The sequence below is a fragment of the Homo sapiens genome, chromosome 7, assembly GCF_000001405.40.
Source record: "Homo sapiens chromosome 7, GRCh38.p14 Primary Assembly".
Taxonomy (NCBI): Eukaryota; Metazoa; Chordata; class Mammalia; order Primates; family Hominidae; genus Homo; species Homo sapiens.
The window spans coordinates 24,946,683-24,968,026 of NC_000007.14; the positions used below are offsets into that span (position 1 = coordinate 24,946,683).

General features: G+C 39.0%; 1 protein-coding gene across 24 annotated transcripts in view, besides 2 other annotated features; it reads right to left on the reverse strand.

The window, feature by feature from the left end:
* OSBPL3 (oxysterol binding protein like 3) overlaps positions 1-21,344 on the reverse strand; it is a 185,309-nt gene that overhangs the window by 150,146 nt on the left and 13,819 nt on the right. Inside the window, exon 1 of one of the 24 annotated variants that reach the window (XM_047420149.1) lies at positions 2,095-3,729. The exons of 22 other annotated variants lie outside the window; for them this stretch is intronic. The gene's annotated coding sequence lies outside the window, so the exon portion shown is untranslated. Of the gene's footprint in view, positions 1-2,094; positions 3,730-21,344 lie in introns of those variants that run through there. One more of the 24 variants, XM_047420138.1, reaches the window with a different exon arrangement.
* Positions 3,924-4,423: an enhancer, noted in NCBI's record as "H3K4me1 hESC enhancer chr7:24990225-24990724 (GRCh37/hg19 assembly coordinates)". NCBI's record gives its function as "activates a minimal SCP1, AML or CMV promoter by ChIP-STARR-seq in naive H9 embryonic stem cells {active_cell/tissue: H9 hESC(naive)}" and the evidence as "EXISTENCE:reporter gene assay evidence [ECO:0000049][PMID:30033119]".
* Positions 19,495-19,654: an enhancer, noted in NCBI's record as "active region_25761". NCBI's record gives its function as "activates an Ori minimal core promoter by ATAC-STARR-seq in GM12878 lymphoblastoid cells {active_cell/tissue: GM12878}" and the evidence as "EXISTENCE:reporter gene assay evidence [ECO:0000049][PMID:35858748]".

Consider the following 21,344-nt stretch of genomic DNA (forward strand, 5'->3'; position numbering starts at 1 on the left):
GCCATTAAGAAGGGCAGGCTCAGGTCCATCTTATCCACTCCATGTGGCAAACATTTCTCCCTCCTCTGCTCACATCATTTTTTATCATATGCTTTGGATTCATGAGCTGAAGTAGCAGGGATGTGTGGGAGAAAGAGAAAGAGGAGAGTGAGGAGAGAGAGAAATTGACTCCATCTATATCATCTGCTTTGTGAGGATAAGAACTGTCTTAACTCTTTTTCTTTCCCACAACACTCATCAGGAATCCAATAAAGGTTTGCTGTTTGGCTTGTGCTCAAAACGAAAAGGATAAGCATTATTGTTCATTATTCTTGCCGCTTTCATGTCTTTAAATTGTACAACAAAGAAAACAATCTGTACCACAGAAGGCTGGACTGCTGAGTTCTAGCAAGGCATAGAGCTGTCTAAAAACAAAGTCAGGAGTGCCCCATCCTTGATGATGGTCAAGTCAAGGTGTTGTAGAAAGGAGTAAAACAACAGATGGAGGTTCTAAGATTCTAAGGTCCCTTCTAAGAAAGCCTTCTATAATTCCATAACAAAGGATTTAGAAAATAAAAGCAAAACTGAGTTCCTATAAATGTGTGGGATGTCACTATTCACTATCCTCCTGCCAAAAATGTATTAACATAGAAAAAAAGACAGCTAGGAAATTCTCTGAATAAAGCTCTTCCAGGTAGAGTTCAATGGCTACAGAAGGAATCAGCTCACAGCATGTGTGCAGCCTGGCTTTACCCAGGCACCAGAAGCCTCCAGAGCATCACTCCTGACTGCTGCTTTTGCTCCCCACGTGACTACCCCTGAAAGCTGCATATTTTTATTTCACAGAAACTACCTTTCCTCAGTCCCTATCAAGAAATGAATTTCAAAGTAACATTTTTAGCATAATATTTAATCCCTAACCATACCAACAACTTATCTATATGGGTAAGAAGGAAGCCAAATATTGCCAAAAATATCTAGGAATCACTATTTCTGAGTAGATAGCACAGTATTTATTGAAATTTGAACATTAGAAATATGCTACAAACTAAACTATAATCTGAACACAAGTAATATATGCATGTGTATATATGTATACATACATATCCAATTAAATCACACACACACACACACACACACACACACACTCATTGCATACTACCCATGTGCCAGATTCTGTGATCGGTGTTGGTAATTTGACACTGTACAGGGGAACAATATAATGTCCCCAAAGAGCTCTATCCATTCACTGTGTGCCAAAGATGCAAGAGATTATATCACAGATTAAGCTTTAAGAATGATTTTTTTAATCCAATGTTCATTTCTAAATCTTTTTCAAGAAATAAAAAAATCAAACTAAGACGACCTATCATATACCATACAGCAAGCTCACAGACCTATATAGAAATCCCTTGAGCTGGAGCTAACAACAAGGACACATCACAGAGAAACGGTCTCCCTTGGCTACGGAAGACAAAGCGAGAGAGAGAAGATTCTCAAGTGGTTTCAAGTCTGGGAATGATAGCCTAAAAAGAAAGTCTTAGGAGAAGACAGAAAAGTATTTTCAAATATTTGAAGCATTGTTGTACAGAAGACATCAGACTTATTCTACTTCAGAGGAAATAGCTGAAGTACTTCTATACAAAAGAATTAAACTTTTCTATTAATACTTCAGAAGGTAGACCTATGGCTTACAGGTGGAAGTCAAAGCAAGCAGATTTACCTCATTTTTTTTTTAAAAAGACCCTTCTAACAATTTGATAGCTCACAGCTGGAATGGGTTTCATGCAATGGTACTGAGTCACTGAAAAAGCTTTCAGAGGCTAAATGATGTCCATCAGCAAAGTTGTGTAGATTACAGAATCAGATGGTGTATAGGATTGGGTGATAATGCAATACCTTCTTCCAGCCCTATTCTATTATCCATTCTATGGAAGAGGATGTCTCCATCTTTTCTTTGAGTAAATAATTCCCAAATCATCTATTAAAAATCTCAGGATCCTTAATTCTACATCTTTACTTGGTATTTGTCTACCTAGGCTAATACTGAAGCCAGCTAATCTCACTAAGCCCTCTGTCATGAAGAGTGAAGAAAGACATCAGAAGTATCTTAACTGAGAGGGTAGATGGAGGTCCCTCAGGACAAGCTCTTCCGAGGTGTGGATACAAAGTATATGGCTGAATTATGAGTCATCACAGGAAATCAGTTGTTCGTAATAACAACACTGCTCCTAGTCAACAGAAACAGAAATTAATTAAACAATTTCCAGGAGGAGGTTTTAGATCTGGCTTTTATGATGTTAATGACTTATCAAAAGAGTCTGCATATCATGATGTCTCTAGACTTCTACTTCTTTATTTTTCCTTTGTAAACTGTGTCACACCAGGCGTATCTCACCATGAAAACATTGTGAGTAATCTCACCACACTGGGGAGAATTCATATTAGTAGTTGAGCGTAAATTCACCTAGAATTTATCAATTTGCTTATTCACGTTAACAGAACCACATTTTACACACTGTATAACCTGCCATTTTCATTTAACAATGTATTCCTGACATCTTTCCATAATATGACATACAGACCTACAGCATAGCTTCACAGTATTCATCACATACTGTGTTCCACCAAGTCTGGAACACACTCTTTCTCATATTTTAATATCTCTGACATTGGGTGTGTCTCACATTTAACAGCCATCATAGTTTACCTGGCAGCATATTTTCCTTCCTCAGTGGGACATTTTCTTTCTTAGTGGTACATAAATTAATGGGGGATCTTACAATTGACAGTCTTTGATTCAATGAAATAGGTTAGCTGAACTGTATATAATCAATCCATTTTGGATGTTGGCAGCAGATCCTCTTGATGTCCCCTTGTCATATTCCCTCCACCCACCTCTGATTTCAGCCATTGCCATGGCGGGGAGTTCAGAGTAGGGTGGCCTCAAGCTGACAGCTCCCACTAAAGACAGCATAAGTGTCTCTTTTGTCCCCAGAGCCTTCTTTGAAGCTGGGTGGCATCAACTCAGCCTGAAGGCAAGAGTGACCCAGAAAGGCGGAAGTACAAATGGCCCAGTGCACAACCTCAAGCAGAGGGGTACAGGGATGGCTGTGTAAATGCTCTAACTATAACACACTCTGTTATTATTGACTTTCTCCTTCCCTGCCTCTCTCCCCGCTCCCTCAGCGCTGCTTCCTAAGATCACCTCCCAAATAAATTATTTGCACCCAACTCCTTGCTTCAGGCTCTGCTTTCATGGGCCCCAAACTAAGCCCAGGCCTTATGGACTATTTCAACAGTCTCCAATTTATCAATACTTCATGCTTCAAAAATATGTTTATAAGTCAACAGCTTGGAATTTGCAATCCATTGTTTTCCCCACAGAAATGCTATTATAAATGATTAGATTCATAAGCCAGGTCATAAAAAGTATTCATAACAGCATGGAGTGCCAGCACAAAAGCTCCTAAGAAAACATGTCATTTTGCCACACTGCCTTTCTTTACCAGAATAAACATTAGTAATGCAATTAAGGCTCCAGGAACAAATATCCATCCACGTTGACATGTGCATACAAAAATACACACAAACACACACACACACATATTGGTGAAAGCAGATCTCTAGAGAATCGAAATGCCTGTATCAATATTCATTTAAGTCCTTATAACTAGGGCTTACAACTTGAAATCCAAGAAATATAGAAAGAGTTAAACTCATCAAAGGTCTCAAAAGGGAAAAACAGAAACTATTTAGTTCAATACACAAAACATGTAGGCCGGGCGCGGTGGCTCACGCCTGTAATCCCAGCACTTTGGGAGGCCGAGGCGGGCGGATCACGAGGTCAGGAGATCGAAACCATCCTGGCTAACATGGTGAAACCCCGTCTCTACTAAAAATACAAAAAATTAGCCAGGCGCGGTGGCGGGTGCCTGTAGTCCCAGCTACTTGGGCGGCTGAGGCAGGAGAATGGCACGAACCCAAGAGGCGAAGCTTGCAGTGAGCGGAGATCGTGCCACTGCACTCCAGCCTGGGCAACAGAGTGAGACTCCGTCTCAAAAAACAAAACAAAACAAAACAAAAACATGTAAAATTTCTTAGCCAAAGATGTTAAGGGTGAAATGAAAGAAAGAGGGTCATTCAGAACAAATTAGTGCAGAATTAAAGTGGTTATGTAATTTGGAACTCAAGTCACCACAGAGGACTGTTTAAAGTCAATGCTCAACAGTTAGAAGTCTGTTACAAAATCAGAGGAGACTGAACTTGAGTTGAAAAAAAAAATTAAGCTTCATATTTTATATAAAGCTAAGCCTTAAATCTGAATGAATGGATTAAAGTTGCATTTATATGATATTGTGTCAAAGCCCCATTAAATGATCATTTAATATTCAAAACAACGATCTCCCTCCCCACCACCAGCCCCAACAAAAAGAAAGAATCTCCCAAATCAAATTATTGATTGTAGCATCAAGAGGATGGAAAGTAGGAGAAAAGAAACGAAGAAATTTGAGATTATGGAATCAGACTGAAAGAAATCAATCAAAATCTTATCTAAAAATATTTGCTAGTGGCCTAATGTAAGTGGATCCTTAAGTGGGGTTTTTTCAAATTTCTTAAAAATAAAAATGCCTTTAAGTAAAAGCAACTCCTTGCTCAAGTAAAAAGTAAATCAAAATCACTTTTTCAATTATGCAGAATTTATATGTAACTTCATATTCCTTCTGGTAAAAAGAAAGGGGAAAAATGAAAAAGGTGAACCGAAAAATAAATCACTGAATGTTATTAAATATATACATCAAATCCATGACTACAGATGTGGGCACAAAAAATAAAAACACTTTTAGATCCAGGAAAGAAATCTGGTTTACAAAAGCCAGAAGACTATTAGTATTTATGACTTAAACTTAATTATTGTGCATATACACAAATCCCTTCCCCCTACCCACACACACAGGATTTTCTTCCCCCAAGTTCCCCAATTTAATGGTAAAGACGTAAGCTTTGAGCTTAAAACAAGAAATATTCTTTCATTTTGTTCTTCCATGTAAGGGCTGACAAACACACCACGGGGGAGAAACCTGTATTAATGATCCTCATAGCTTGCAAGAAAAACTATTAATTTCAGTCTAAACAAACACAAACAGGGACAAAACATTCTAGACATAAACCTGCTGCAGAAGCTCTCCAAAATCACAACACCCACGGTACATCTTTCAGCTCAAATGAATAAACACTTCCAGTGAGACCTCAAATGTTTTCTTTTTTTTAAAACATAAAAAGGAATCATTTTATTCCAACATGAATGAGACTGTAGAGAGCTCTAGTACTGTTGACAGCAACACTTCTTGGGGATATTATTAACTGGATTATAACATCTAATAACTAAAAGGAAGAACACGAATGAATGTAGAGGGGCCTCCCCACCGGCCATTCTTTCAAGCTTCAAAAAAGGAGCTCAGACTTTGAGTAAAGTCTTAGTCTTGGAATGCAATAGGCAGGAGGCACTTGAACTACCCAGACACTGAAATGATGCACAAAATTCTGCTCAATAGGCTGATATTTCATGTGGGTTAGGATCTGTAATCTAAACAGAATTAAGAAAAAAAATTAAGAAGCTAAGCACAACATAAATAGTCCAACTTTTTATTTTAAGGACAGAGAAACTGAGGCCCACAAGGCTCAAGTTTTGCCCAATGTCATGTAATCACTAATCATATACCGGTTATCTAGGTCTCCTGACATTCAATACAATGCCCTGTAGCAAACCGAAACCTCAGAAACCTCAGAAGGTATGGTCTAATCTAACATGTCTAAAATATTATTTGTAATACCCTTAAAGAATATCCTGAAATTGGATGAAATTTTAGATGTTGCTCTATAAATATGGAAAGATGCTCATATGAGCCACCTTTGGAGACTAGGTACTCAAATTTATCATGTATCTCAATACGGTTCATGCCAGGCATATGTATATTCACATGCAAAATCCTGCAACATTCTTAACTGTGCATTACATCAACTCTATAGAGATTATGGTAAGGTTATTTCCAGGATTCTAGGCCTGCCCTACCAATATGCAAACCATCAGCTGAATCTATAAACAAGAGTACCATCAAGGTTCCCAGATTTAAAATATTTCCCTACCCAATTCCCTATCAACCCCGCTTCCCCTCCCCAATCTCATTTAAAATAACTCTGGGATGGCCAATGCCTGTAATCTCAGCACTTTAGGGGGCAGAGGTGGTAGGATCCCTGGAGCCCAGGAGTTCAAGACCAGCCTGGGCAACACAGCAAGACACTGTCTCTACAAAAAAATCTAAAAATTAGCCAGGCATGGTGGTGCATGCTTGTAGTCCCACCTACTTGAGAGACTAGGATAGGAGGGTCACTTGAGCCTAGGATTTCAAGGTTGCAGTGAGCCATGATCACACCACTGTGCTCCAGCCTGGACGACAGAGTGAGACCCCGTCTCTAAAAGGTAAATAAATACATACTCTGGGCTTTTGCTAATAATACTATCTTAAAAGATTAAAGCCTTCACTTAAGTAGTTTTGCTTCATCACTTTAATTATTCTGGCAACCCATCTATAGTTCAATTCTCAATATGCCATCATTTGTCAGCTCTGCCAAGGAGTAAGCCCCATCTTTCCTAACCAAGCAACTCTTCCCTGGGGTTTCTTTCAAAAAAAATTATACCAGCAGGTTCTAATTTCCTATCCCTGCCAGAAAGGCTGCTCAGAAGTTGAGTTTAAATGTGTCTTATTAAAGTATTGTGTTAAAAAAAAAAGTATTACGTATCTGCTGAATTGTAATCAGACTTGAATAATCATCTTAAATAAAAGTTTATTAATTGAACATTCATTATTACTCTCAGTATGAAAACTAAATAGATCATCAGAAAAAGAATTAGGCACATTAGGAAGCAGTCAGATTGTATCAGTGATCAAACAGTTCAGACAGGGAAGGAAGCTTACTCTAAACAGAAGCTGCAGATTTGTATCCACTACCTATTTCAGATCCTGGTACAGTAGGTGCCCAGTAAACGCTGAACAAATGAATGAAAATAGAACTCCAAGTCACTTAGATCAAGGCACAACTGGAGCTCCATTTAATAAATGGTCAATGCCTGACTCTCCATTAAATGTTCAACGGCATGAACTAGAAGCAGGCAGCATGTATCCCAGGAATAGCTTTTGCTACAAAATGTGAGACAAAACAGCTCATGAAGAAAATAATCCTTATGGTAATCATCACAATGATGATCAACAGTCTGGAACACTTTCTCAATCACCAGATGAACCTTAGAACAAACTGAGAGAAAGGGGTCTGGGTACACTGGAAGTGGCAGCTCCAAACAGGCCCTGTGAAGCTCTTCATCCAAGACCTTCCTTCCTCTTTCATGATATTCCACTCTTCTACTTTCTCCCAAAACTATCTTTTTCATGCAGGCAAACAAAGTAGCAATAATGTCCAAACACAGAATCACTCAAGCCAAAGTACTCTCCTGAGCACCAGGAATCATCTGGCTGTGCTGAAAAGTCTGTCCAAACACTTTGGATTAATTTTTTTTCTTTTTGCATATTAAGGTATTTTTAGACGTGAAGTTATTTATTCTCTGCACCAAGAGAGGCTTACTTTTTAATCCTTTCTCCATAAGGATGTCAAAATCTTTCAGTCCCAAGGTAAGGTATCAGACCAAAATAGCTTTAAAAGTTCTATATAATTAAGAATGTTGTTATAGCTACTCTTATGCCAAGAATCATCTACACTGCTTCAATTCATATAATCATATCCACGAGAGACCCAGTTAACCTTGGCATTTCTGCTGCAAACAAAGTGTTTAGACAAACAGCACTCTCTCTATCCCAACCATGTTACTCAGTGCTGCCTGGTCAATTCTCACACAAATCAGAAAAAAAAAAGGTGTGGGGACAGAGGGGGCCAAGATGTAAAAAGGCAAGTCTGCAATCCTCCTGACCCCATCTCCTACAAATAAACTTAGGTTCTTCCAACAGTACGTTGAAAAGAATTAAAGATGTGGACCCTAAACAAACAAAAAGTCGTTTTGCATTGACCCTCTCTTTAATTTCAAACCTGGAAATTTTTAGCAGGAATATGATGACAAAACCACATTACCTAGAAATCATAAAGGTGGAAGACACTTTGAAAAGGTTTTTTGGAAAGAGCATAAAAAGTATCCCATGGGGTCTGATAAGTGGTCCTTCTGGCCAAGGGTTCATGCTGACAGTACTAAAGGAATGGATCTAAGGATGGAGTAGAGGGTGAGCAAACAGGGCAGGCAAGGGAAATGTGATCATGCCCTCCATAATCACAGCCTCAAAGATCCATAATGTGCCTTGGTTACCTCTTGATTCTCAGTATCTGACCATTTGTCAACTCTGCCACGGAGTTAGCCTTATCTCAAGTTTCATGAAAGCAGGGATTTTCTTTTGTTCACTACTATACATATTACCAACATTTGAACAGTGTCTGGCACATAACAGACTTCCAAAAAATTATTTTTGAATTAATAAAGTTATAGTTCAATCATTCATGAATTTGCTGAAAGCCAGTAGCAGGTTAATTTACCAGTTAATTCCCCACCAACAAGGAAGAAAGCAAACTTTTCCCATAATGAGTTTGGGGGCTACCATGTCATTTAGCAATTAATCTATTCCAACAACAAAAATATACTGAGCACTTACAATGCGCTGGGAATTTTTCCAGTGCTGGGAATACAGTGGTAGACAAGATACATGTTGTTCCTGCTCTCACAGAGCTTCCATTCTAGTGATTCTCCCTGGCTGTTCTGTGGAGGAGAGGCTACTGGGGTGGCCTCAGGGCCTTTGCACTTCTTGTTTTCTCTAAGTAGATGTTTGTGCAGTCTGTGCTTCCCCTCTTTTTTCAGGTTTCTGCTCAAATGTCACCTTATCAGAGAGGCCTTTGGCCATTTCTATGTAAAATCAAACAGCAGCACCCCTGTCCCCTATACACTCTAACCTACTTATCCCTGCTTTAATGTTCTCCACAGCACTTACTATCACCTGACATACATATTTATTTGCTTATAATGCAAACTCCATGAGGGCAGGGACTTTGTTTGTTGTTGTATCCCCTGGACCCACAAGGGGGCTTGACGCATTAGTAGGCATTCAATAAATATCTACAGAATGAATGTTTTTTAAAAACATACAATCATTGAGCTTCTTCAGCACAGCCACTGCTGTGCAGTTTAGTCACTGATCTTTCAGATCTTTTTCACTCAAACTAGTTCTTGGTCCTGCTGAGGAAACCCTATGAGTTTCTCATTTGTAGCTATGAGATTATGCAAACCCTAAGAGTATAATTTCCACTTTATATTCTAGATCACTAATGAAAATGCCCATTTCCATCAGGTCCTGGATCAGTCTCCACGGAAAATACTCACTGACTCCTCCCAGGATGAAAGTGACCCACAGTCAACATCTGGATGTGAACGCAGTGCTGATTCCCATCATGCATAAACCCACTTAGCCATGAAAGCTTCAATAAAACTGCTCTGTGACTGAAATACTGCAAAGCCTGCCCCAGGGCAAAGCCTGCCCCTGACTCAGCCTCAAAGGTGCCAACTGGCTCCCAGTTAACCAACCCTTCCCTGTTCTGAGATATTTCCACATGCGCAAAGGATGCCAGTGGATAGAACTGTTTTATTCATTAGGGGATAAGGGTACTCAGAAAAGAATACAGCTAATTTTTAAAAACCAATCCTGCATTAGTTTTCTCTACTCTGGCTTTATGTCCCACCTGCCCATTCCATGTATTTGTTGTTACGAAGAACTGAAGAGTAAAACACTGGAAGAGTAAAGCAGTAGAATTACCATGTTCATAGCTTCACTATCAAATGGCCATCTTCCTTTGTCTTACGCACATGAGGCATATATACATCTATCAAGGAAGATTTTCTGTTTATAAAGTTAGTCTCATTGTTAGACCTCAAACTTCTGATTCTTTGTATTCTTCCTTGTAAAACAGGCCTTTTTCTGCATTTTGAGGTTTTTCCCATCTGTCTTTTAGATACTTGTGTTACCTTAATAAAATTTTATTTTTCAATGGAGATATACTGTTTTGTTTCTTTATAAGAAAATTCAGGTTTTATCCTTTTTTAACTCTTTCACCCTTCAACCATTATTAATTTCTTCTCATGGAGTTCTTTTAGTCTGTTGAAATTCCTTTTTAAAATGTGTTCTCTTTGTTCTACTGAATTTCTAGTTTTTTTATTCATTGTCTGTTCCATCAATTAAAGTGGTAAGATTTTGGGCACATCCCTTTACAAGCATGAGTTCTGTCTGCTCATCAGTATAACTAGAATAAGTCATGCTATCTGCCTTGCCTGGTGCTATGCAGGTATAAGACTAAGTAGGTAGAACTGCTGTTTAAGCCACTCTTGAAAGTTTCAGTCTCTGTACTTGAATAGGCCCATTGCTTCCAATAAGAGAGGAATTTAATACTCTAAAAGAAGGGGGCCAATACTATTAAAGTCACATTAATCTACACTTTGCAGAGACATGGCAGAACAGACAAAAAAAAAAAAACCTCACCATCAAATCCAATGCCTGCCTTCCGGTCAATTAAAAAAGCAAAAAACAAAAAACAGGATTACAGTTCCAAATGCCCCAAACAAACAAATCTTCAGGTTGCATTAAGCAAAAACTTATCAAGCCCTCAATTACTTCTTTCGTAATGAATTCCAACGTTTCCACCTAGGGATAGAGAGTATGAAACCAAGCTTTAATCTAGGTTGAACAGCTGAAATTTGATCATGGTGGTAATAGGGTACTCAGGTAAGGATCCAGATAAAATTGATAATAAACATGTCTCCAATCACTACGCTTCAACTTGTTTTGCTTTTTGTCCTTTTACTAACAAAATATAGTAAATGTAAGTTATTTCTTAAATAATACACTTAATGTTCTCTAATATCAACCACTGAATTATTTTGCTTAAATTCCTGAGTCTCAACTTTCTCATCTGTAAAACACAAATAAAAACTGCTTCCTCACTTGGTTACTGTGAGAACAGCAACCAAAAAGGAGGGAGGGCACTCAGATGAATTCAATAAAACCTAAAAAACAGACTAGAATTCAAGTCCTCCATGATCTTGTTCTCTCAGGAAGCAATTAATATAATCAATTCTGTACTTGTTTTATCAGAAACATGTTCATTTCCCAGTTTTTGCATAAATGCCATCATACACTGTTTTACACATTCTTTTTTCCATTTAACAATAAATTTTAGAGACTGTTCCATATCAATAAGGAGGAAGCTCCCCCATTCTCTATATAAGCCATTATTTACTTAACATTCTCCCACATTTAGGTTATTTCCAGTCTTTTACTGTCATAATCTTTTGCTCACATATAAGCATTTTTGTAAGGTACACTTCTAAAAGGAGAATTGTTGGGTCAAAAAGTATGCACGTTTTCAATTTTTAAAAAGATTGCCAGATTGTCCTCCATAGAGGTTTAGAGCAATTTACTCTCCTGCCAGCCATAAATGAAGACCATTTCTCCACATGCTGATCAATATAAATCTCTTATTAAACACTGTTGTTAAATCTCAGTCAATAGGATAGTAAAAAATGCTATCTCCATGTGTTTTAATTGCTTTTTCTAATGAGGTTTTTTGGCTTTTTTTGATTGATAGTCTCTCTTTGAATATTAAGAAAATCTATTTCATGCCCTTTAACTTTCTTCCTTTGTATTACTCTGCACATTCTATGATCCAACTACTCTGAGCCATTTGCTATTCTCCAAATGGGCTACATTTTGGGAAATGCCCATTACTTCCAACTTCACTTACAAAATTTCTTGACAGTCAAGTTCAAAGGCATTTCAATGTTTATGAAGTGTTCCTGTACTCCTCTCATAGGACTTAATCACTCCTTCCTCAAGAGTGCCTAGGGAGCATTTTTAACACTTCATAACAGTATCACTTCACTCTGCCATGTACACATATGAACTTCTTGAAGGTCCAGATTATATTCTTCATCTTAGCATTCCCTGTGATATTCAGCACATTCACTCAATTAATGTGGCATGGAAGACTGAATTAAAAAGACTGCATTTCTAACTGCATATGTGGTTTTCAACTTCCAAACCAATATTGTAAATCTAGTGATGGGGATAATAAAATAAAGTGAAGATCTGCAGACTTGTTCTTTGGCCTAGACATCCATATCACCACTTAAATGCTGATCATCTTTTCTCTAAGTTTTTTGTTTAATGTTTGTTTTAACACTGAAATTCTGGCTGGGACTTGAATGACTAAAGGACCTAACTAAGATCAAAGTATTAAGGGGATTACAGACTTCTTTTCTATAATCCATGAATTGTAAGTTTTAAACATTCACTAGAATGGCTAAAATAAAAAAGAAAAGAACAAGTACAGATGTAGAGCAACTAGAACTATCATAAACTGCTGGAAGAAACGTAAATGGGCACAACCATTTTGGAAAACTGTTTGGGGGAATCAACTGAAGCTAAACATATGTTAACTCTGTGACCCAGCAATTCTACTCCTTGGTATATACTCAATAAAAACGCACACATTTGTTCACCAAAAGTTATGTACGAGAATATTCACAGCAGCACTAATCATAAAAACCCCAAACAGAAAAAAAAACAAATGTTTATCAATAGTAGAATGGATAAATAAATTTTGGCATATTAACACAATGCGATTCTAACAGCAATAGGAATAAACAAACTAAAAACCACACATCAAAATATGAGTGACTCTCACAGACCTAAAGCGTTAACATGAGTCAATTTACATAAGTTACAAAAACAAGCAAAGCTAATCTGATGGTGTTACAAATCAGGATGGAAATTACCCATTGCGGGTAGGGATAGCGACTTCGGAAGAGCTGGTAATCACCTGTTTCTTGTTCTGGACGCTGGTTACACAGGTTATTTATCTTCTGAAAACTCATTAGATTATATGTTGATGCTTTGTATACTTTTCTGCAGGCATATTATACTTTAACAAAAATGTTCCTAAAATAAATCAATAGGTGAAACTTCCAAAAGAAAATATATTCCTTTTAAAATGCCATTCAGGAATAAATGTTTTTCTAAATGCTGACATGCTTATCGGCCACTTGTAAAACCCAGCTGACCTGGACTGGTTTGACCAAAGAGCCTACCACTGAAAACCGAACTTGAACAAAAAAGAATTTTCTATTTCCGAAACAATGCATGAGTCACAAATGGTATTCAAATTTTTTGATTAAGAATAAAGTGAGGTGACCAACAGAGATCAGCTACTGAGAGTAGGCAAAGATTGCAGAGAAAGATAAAAGAAAAGAATTTCCTTAAATGGTACCAAAATAGCTATTACTCTTAAATGAACCTTCTGTTGAACTACTAAGAAAAAAACCAATTATTTATTCCAATGCAGATATATGCCTCAGCACCCAGCTTCCCTCCCAATATTATTTTATAACACTGCACAACAGACAAAGAGAGTGTGAGAGTACCACAGGAGGAGTAATCAATGGCAACTGCAGGTGTCTGAATAGAGGGAAACTAAGAGAAATGAAACACAGATCCTTCCACCTCATTAGTCTTCTAAAAATATTCTCATAATACAAAGGCATGCCCCGCTAGTGTGGTATATAAATGAATGAGAAACCTAATCAAAATGGTTTTTATGAATCTTGACCACAACCCACGTACAAATACTTTGGAGATTAAAAATAGGAAAATAAATTGATGGTGCTAAGCTAGTCAAGCAGAGCAGAAATAAATGTGGAAGCTGGACAACACAAAATCAATATATCGAAAACTCAATTATCTGTGCTAATGGAGGCAGATTTTTAAAAATCTTTTCCATTGGGCTGTGAAATATAGAACAGGCACTCCGAGACAGATGAACAGGCCCAAACACTTACCCTCTTCTGAACCTGGCATTCATTCATTTTTAATTTGATCCCAACAAAACTCAAAAGGAAAGAAAAATAAAAAGATGTGAAGTCTAGGTGACCACCAGTCACCAGGGGTGACTTCACAGCCAACTTTAAACTTCCTGTTGTAAAAGGAAACACAAAAAGATAATTAACTGAATTTCATAGATAATCCATCACAGTTCATCTTGGTCAATGTACAAAACTGGTTTTGCACAGAAGTATCACCAAGTACATAGTCCCTCCAAAAAGAAATAAGAAAAAAGATAGGATGCTATCAAGGTTTTAATTACACCCCTCGATCTTACCTTGCCCACCTTCGGGAAGTGGTTCTAATAAGCAGTGAAATTTGCAAAAGGCAGGTAGCAACAAGGAAAACCAGCAAGGGATATGAATAATTAAACTTCGAAATAATTTTTTTAAACCTGGAACAATTCTTTGTTCATGTAATGATTTTTTTAAAAAAAATTCTTCTCCCCCTTACAAAAGGAAGGATTAGAATTAACCACTAACAATGTAAGCTAAGAATGGCATGAAGGGAAAAAGGAAGATACCTTCTTTCCCCACAACAGCAAAGCAGATTTATTAAGGACATCTATGTCTTTAATAAAGATGGTCTTTTGGCTGACCATTCAGCCAAAACCAATCATAAACTGTCTAATACTGACCTGGTTAGTATTAGACCAGTATCTGACTAGGATCAGGGGAGAGAGGCTCACCATGATCTAGCCACATCTAGTTGAAATTAACCTTGAAATTAACAAGAAGAAGCATCTGCTGAGGTCCTGCTATGGTCTGAATGTTTATGTACCCCACAAAAACCATATGTTGAGATTCTCACCCCCAAGGTGATGGTATTCAGAGATGGGGCCTTTGAGAGGTGATTTAAGAATGGAGCCCTCCTGTATGGCATTAGCGCTCCCACAAAAAAGCTCCCAGAGAGCTGCCATGCCCCATCCACCATTTAGAGGACACAGCTAGAAGGTGCCCTCTATGATAATGCAGGCCCTCACCAGACACCAGATCTGCTGGTGCCTTGATATTGGACTTCCCAGCCTCCAGAACTGAATGATACAAATTTCTATTGTTCATAAACTTCCCCATTTCTGGCATTTTATTATAGCAGTCTGAACACACTAAGACAGGGCGCACCAAGGACTGGCAGTCAGCATAGTGCATTAAACAAGGAGATCTCTCTAGAAGGGCTCAAAAGTCCATACAATAAATGAGTATAACTTGGTAAAGGACTAAATAAACAAATGCATGGATAGCATCGAGCTGGCCATTTACTCATTCATCAAGCATTTATCCTCAGTGTTCACAACATCATAAAGGACAGACATACATTATTTTTGTCTGCCCAACCAACTCCCCATTTTGGTACCAGCACATCAACCTTCCTGTTGTTTAATAAAGAGACATTCAGTGGCTCACACCTGTAATTCCAGCATTTTGGGAGGCTGAGGTGGGTGGATCACTTGAGGTCAGGAGTTCGAGACCAGCCTGGCCAACATGGTGAAACACCATCTCTACTAATAATACAAAAATTAGCCAGGCATGGTGGGGCATGCCTGTAATCCCAGCTACTCGGGAGGCTGAGGCAGGAGAATCGCTTGAACCTGGGAGGCGGAGGTTGCAGTGAGCCAAGATCATGCCATTACACTCCAGCCTGGGCGACGAGAGTGAAACTCTATCAGAAATAAAGAAAGAAAGACAGAAAGACAAGAAAGATAAGAAAGACAGCAAAGAAAGAAAAAGAAAAAGAAAGGAGAGGAGAGGGGAGGGGGGAGGGGAGGGCAGAAGGGAGGGGAGGGGAGGGGAGAGGAGAGAGGAGGAGAGAGGAGGAGAGAGGAGGAGAGAGGAGGAGAGAGGAGGAGAGCAGAGGAGACGCTTGGCCCATGCCTGGCCAGTAACAGCCCTGACAACTCTGGCCCCAGTAGCTGGTTCAGGATTAGGCACACGACCCAGGTGGGAACAACCAGAGCCAAGAATCATCTGTAGAACTAATATTTGCTAGGCATATAGGAAACAAGCCTGTAGCTAAGAGACACACAGAGAAAGCCTGCTTGAGAATGAAGTCATGTGAAAACAGGCTAAGACATGGCAAGAAACAGGTCTTTAATGGCATGACTTGCCCCTAGGTCCAGCCGTGCCTGAAGCTAGCACTACTTTTGGACGTTTTAGCAACATAAGCCAATAAATTTTCTTTTACACTGTCCTTATGCTGGATGAGTTTCTGTCACTTGCAAACAAATGCCCTAATACAGCACCATTGTTGAATTCTTTTAAAACCCTTTATAGGAATAATTCTTCAGCCAGAGTGCCCACCCTCAATTATAATAAAAAGTTTTTAAATATTTTTGAAATGTAACATTCTGAGACATGAATATGAAATAAGGTTGTCCCTTATTATTCCCTGCATCTTCAGAACTTTTTGATGACTGAATTATTTCCGCTTACAAAGGAAAATAAGCTTCTTGGCATAACTGATTTTTCACACCCGATCCTAATACCAGGTTGATTGGGCCTTTAGAGCACTAAAAACCTGTCTGCTCAGTTCTATTTTTGTGGATGTCAGGAGCTCACAGGATAAAGTGAAATCTGAGGGGTTTGCTGCTTGAATTCACTTCTTTCTTGAATTCATCCTCCCCCATGGAAAGGAACAGAAACCAAAGAAGGGGGTGTTGGAGTCTAAAAGCCACTCTTCTGCCAACTTCCCCAGAACACAGAGGCCAGTCATGTGGTCAAACCACAGCTGCAAAATGCTGATGTCAGCAGTGCCACTCTGTGGGTCTGTAATTGGTTCACCATGACAAAACACCATTCCAACCAGGCAACACAGACTCACCATGGCAGCCTCCACCAAGAATCCGGCCAACCCACTTTCCCTTTTTTGCTGACATCTGCCCAGGGCAGACAGTAGCACATCTGGCTGAGTGCGCATCTGACTGCCTATGCACAAGGACCCTGGGTGAGATGGGAGTACACTGAACCAGACTCTGAGTGGTGGAATCTGCCAGCATAGCATGGAGTGGTAAAAAAGGGGCAGGACTACAAGTTCAGAGGACCTGGGCCTAGCCTGGGATTTGCTACCAAAGAGGCGTAACCTTAGATAAACCATTTCACCTTTTGAGGTGTCTATTTTCTTATCTTTAACATGTGAGGAGTGGAAACAGATTAGTGTTTTTCACCGTGGGTAGTAAACCATGTAGTGGGTGATGAAATCAATTTAGTGGATCAAGACCAATATCACCCATGCAAAAAAATGATTCTAGAGGAGGGACAAGGACTATACAAGATTAGCCTGAGTACCTTGTAGTGCCGAAAAGAAAGGACATGCTAAAAAAAAATCCACAAGGATGGACTTACATCAAAGGGATACAGGAGCCAACCGAAAGCACTCCTAATAGCTAAAGCTGGACGAACTTCAGAAACAAAATAAAGTACTACTAAATTATAATCCAAAGTATATAATAAATATCAATGGATCCACACTGATTAAAAAAAACTGATTGAATAAACAAATGGAGAAGAAGAAACAAATCCGACTCACAGAAGAATGTCAAATAATTTATGTAGCTACACCACCCTCAAGGAAGTGCAGTGTAACTCCCCACTCCTTAAGTATGAGCTGTGCATAATAACTTACTTCCAAAGAGTATAGTATGGAAAGGCGAAGAAAAAATAACCATATGGTAGAGAAGCCTGACAAACACTACCTCAACCAGATGAGCAAGGTCAACATAACCAAAACTATAAATCATGCTGCTAACATATACTCTTGATATGATGTAATGAGAATGGCATTTTACCTCTGTAATCTTCTTCCCCAAAACCCATAACCCCAGTCCAATACAAGAAAATCATCAGACAAATCCCAGTGGAGACATACTCTACAAAATACTTTACCACTACTCCTCAAAGCTCTCGAGGTCATCAAACACAAGGAAAGCCTGAGAAACTATTACAGCCAAGAGGAATCTAAGGAGACATGGCAACCAAGATAATGTAGAACCCCACATGGAGTCCTGGAACGGCAAAAGGACACTAAGGAAAAGCTAAGGAAATCTGAATGAAGTATAGATTTTAGTTATTAATACTGCAACAGTACTGGTCTATTAATTGTGACAAAAGTATACTAAGGTAAGATATTGACAATGGGAAAACCACTTGGGGCATATGGGAATTTTTTGTACTATCTTCACATCTTTTCTCTACCTCTAAAACTATTCTAAACTTAAAAGTTGTTTTGTGTTGGGGGCTGTGATTAAAATAAGTAAAGTTGGACAAACATTGAGCAATACCTAAGCAGATGATCTCTAAGCTTTTTACTAGCTTTAAAGGCAATGTTTTGGGAAGTATTTTTAATAGGCATGTTGTATTAATTAATTATTGTGCTTTTCTTATTATTTGTAATTGAGACTACTGGGCCACTAAAGTGCATGAGTTCAGAAGTAGTTAGGGAAGTTATGGAAACCATTCATTCATTTATTCAACAATAAGTATGTGCTCTGTATTATGTCTTCAAAAAATATTTACTGTTAATGCATGAGCGAAAGGATTCTACATCTCCCTAATTTTGTTTTGTCTCAAAATCATTTGAATAAAATGTAGTATTTTCCAAGGAAAAAAGACAATGTAGAAGGAGCAATAAATCTACAGTAAGAAAATCTAGATATAAGTATGAGCTCAACTATTTTTGCCCCTAGGGTAAGTCAGTCATCTGTCTTCAATCTTATTTTCCTTAGTCGTCCAACAAGGTTAATAAATCCCCTGCCTACCTCACAGGGTTATTTTGTTGTGAGAAGAAACATATATTAAAGTGATTTACAAATGTGGAAGTGTTATATAAAATAAGGGGGTTATGACAATCTAATGATAACCAGAATTCTCTGGTTCTTCTCGGAATCAGAATGGACTCCAGGCTGGTTAAGACTTGGTCTTCTGCCTGCTGAACCAATGCTTGGATTTGCTAAGGGGTCCATGAACCAGAGTCAGTATCTCCTAATAACTTATTAGAATTGTAGAATCTCAGGTCCCATTAAATCAGAAACCCACTAAATCAGAAACTGTGGGGGTGGGGCCCAGCAATCTGTTTTATTAAATAATTAATTTGTTTGTTTTTGTGGAGACTGAGTCTCAGTATTCTAACCAGGCTGGTTTTGAACTCCTAACCTCAAGCAATCCTCCCACCTCAGCCTCCCAAAGTGTTGGGATTACAGGCATTAGCCACTGCGACGGACTCAACTCAAGTGTTTTACCAGTCCCTCCAGGACACTCTGACACTGCTGAGGTTTAGAACCACTTCCCTCAAGGGTGTGTCCCATTCATGTGGCCCCACCCCTCCAGCTGGCTCCCTGTCCAGCCAGAATGTTGTCTTGCCCTTGTTTCCTCCAAACCCCCTTCACATCCATTGACACCTGGCTAAGTCTCACACAAGTCATCTGAGAGAGAGGAGAAACAGTACTGTTAAAAGGATGTGGGAGGTCCATGACTTGCTAAACCTCAGCCTGAGTTAACTAGCTACAGCAAGACCCACAGATCTCGCTTCCTACAACATGGGTATTTTCCCCAGACTGGGAAGTTCTTAGCCGCGAAGAGAAATCCAGCACCTGCGGAGACCACACACTGCACATTTTACAAAAGAAACCAAACTCCCACATCCTGTCCTTCTGACCCCTAGCATCTGTCAGACAAAGGTGTCTTATCTGTGGGTCAGAAAAGGCAGTCATCTAATATAAAGATCTATCTACACCTAGCTACACACACCCAGGAAAATAAGACCTCTGGATGCCACAAACAAGTGGGGCTTCCAGGCCCTTAATCAAGGAACAAATGATGCAGAACTCAAAGTAACAAACAAGCTGGAATGTTATTTTGCCCCACGCGATCAAAGACTAGAAAAACAGGAATTACAAGTCAGAAGTATGATGCATTGGCAGGTGTGCATGAAGAAGGCCAGGCAGTCCTTTTTCTGAGCCATGTTTAGGCCAAAGTCTTTCCTTTTTGACACCCTATTATTGGTATCATTCCTTAATGACACACACACAAAACAAAATTAAAGAAGACACTGGCCCAGAGAAAGACTGAGCTGAAAACCTAATTAGGGTGGAGTTTTACACTATGTTTGTGTATATGTATGTTTATAAGGTAAAAGAACTGCTAGTACAAACACAACGCCTCTCTAAAGAGGCTGGGCTTGTTGTGCCTCATGAGGCTGATCATTATTTCCCAGGCAAAATTCATATATAAATCACATACATACAAATTTATGTCAACAAATAATCATTTTTTTATTTACCGCCACTTTGCTTATTCCCCATTCACAGTCTTCTGGAAAATATATGAAAAACATCCCCTAAGTGACTAATACATAAGATAAGCAATACACTGCCACACAGGCAAATTCAGCTTAAGAGACTGAATTTGCATGAGCCATCACAATGCCTGTTTGCAGACACTCTAAATCTGTATTCACAGGTCATCTACATTATCTCAAATTTTTATGGTAATTTTTCCTGTTTCCTATCATCCCTCCTTCCCACAGTGTACACACAGAAATCTTCCAATCATACAACATTTAATTTTTGTATTTGACTACCAGTTGAACTGATTAACACATATTCCCTTGCTCAAAACATTCTGTGGCTCTCCAATGGCCAGAGGATGAAGTAGCCATGCACCACCCTTGGGTTCCCATGAATTCTTACCCTACAGCTGCAAGGGATAACACTGTTTTCACCTTTGCTCATCACTCCCCTCTACCTGAAATGTCCTTCTCTCCCATTTCTCTACCTTTTGAAATTGTACCAGGACACTTCAAGGTCCTGCTCTATTAACACCCTTCCCATGAGATCTCTCCTGGTTTATTCTTTGACATTACCCTCCCCAACTCAACGGTTATCATGGAAAAAGTACCCACCCCAGAGAATGATTGTGAGAATTAAATCAGGTGATGTTCTTTCAAAAAGTACAGAGAATAGTGTCTCACTTCCAGCAAATACTTCATTAAGAAACTACCATTATTATTATTTTATGGTCCTCCAATCTTTGTGACTAGTTACCCTTCCCCTACCTACCTCTTGGCTTACCTTCCCCAAGGTACTACAGGCTTCCCCCTTTCTCTCCTGGGACCTGCCCCAAAGGTTCTATAGGTAAAGGCCCCCTTAACTGTCACAATTTTAACTAAACTGCTGACTCCCAGAACTGATCAACAGCTCTGCCCTCTCTCTTGCACTGTTGCTGGACATGTCTGTGCTGATACCACCCATACACTTCAAGCTCAGCATATTCAAAACCAAAAGCACTCTCTTTCTCTAAGATCTACTCATCTTCCTATTTTCCCCAGCAGTAGTCAATGGCACCATAAATAACACAGTCACATACGCCTGAAACTCTGCAGTTACTTTTTGGTTTGCTT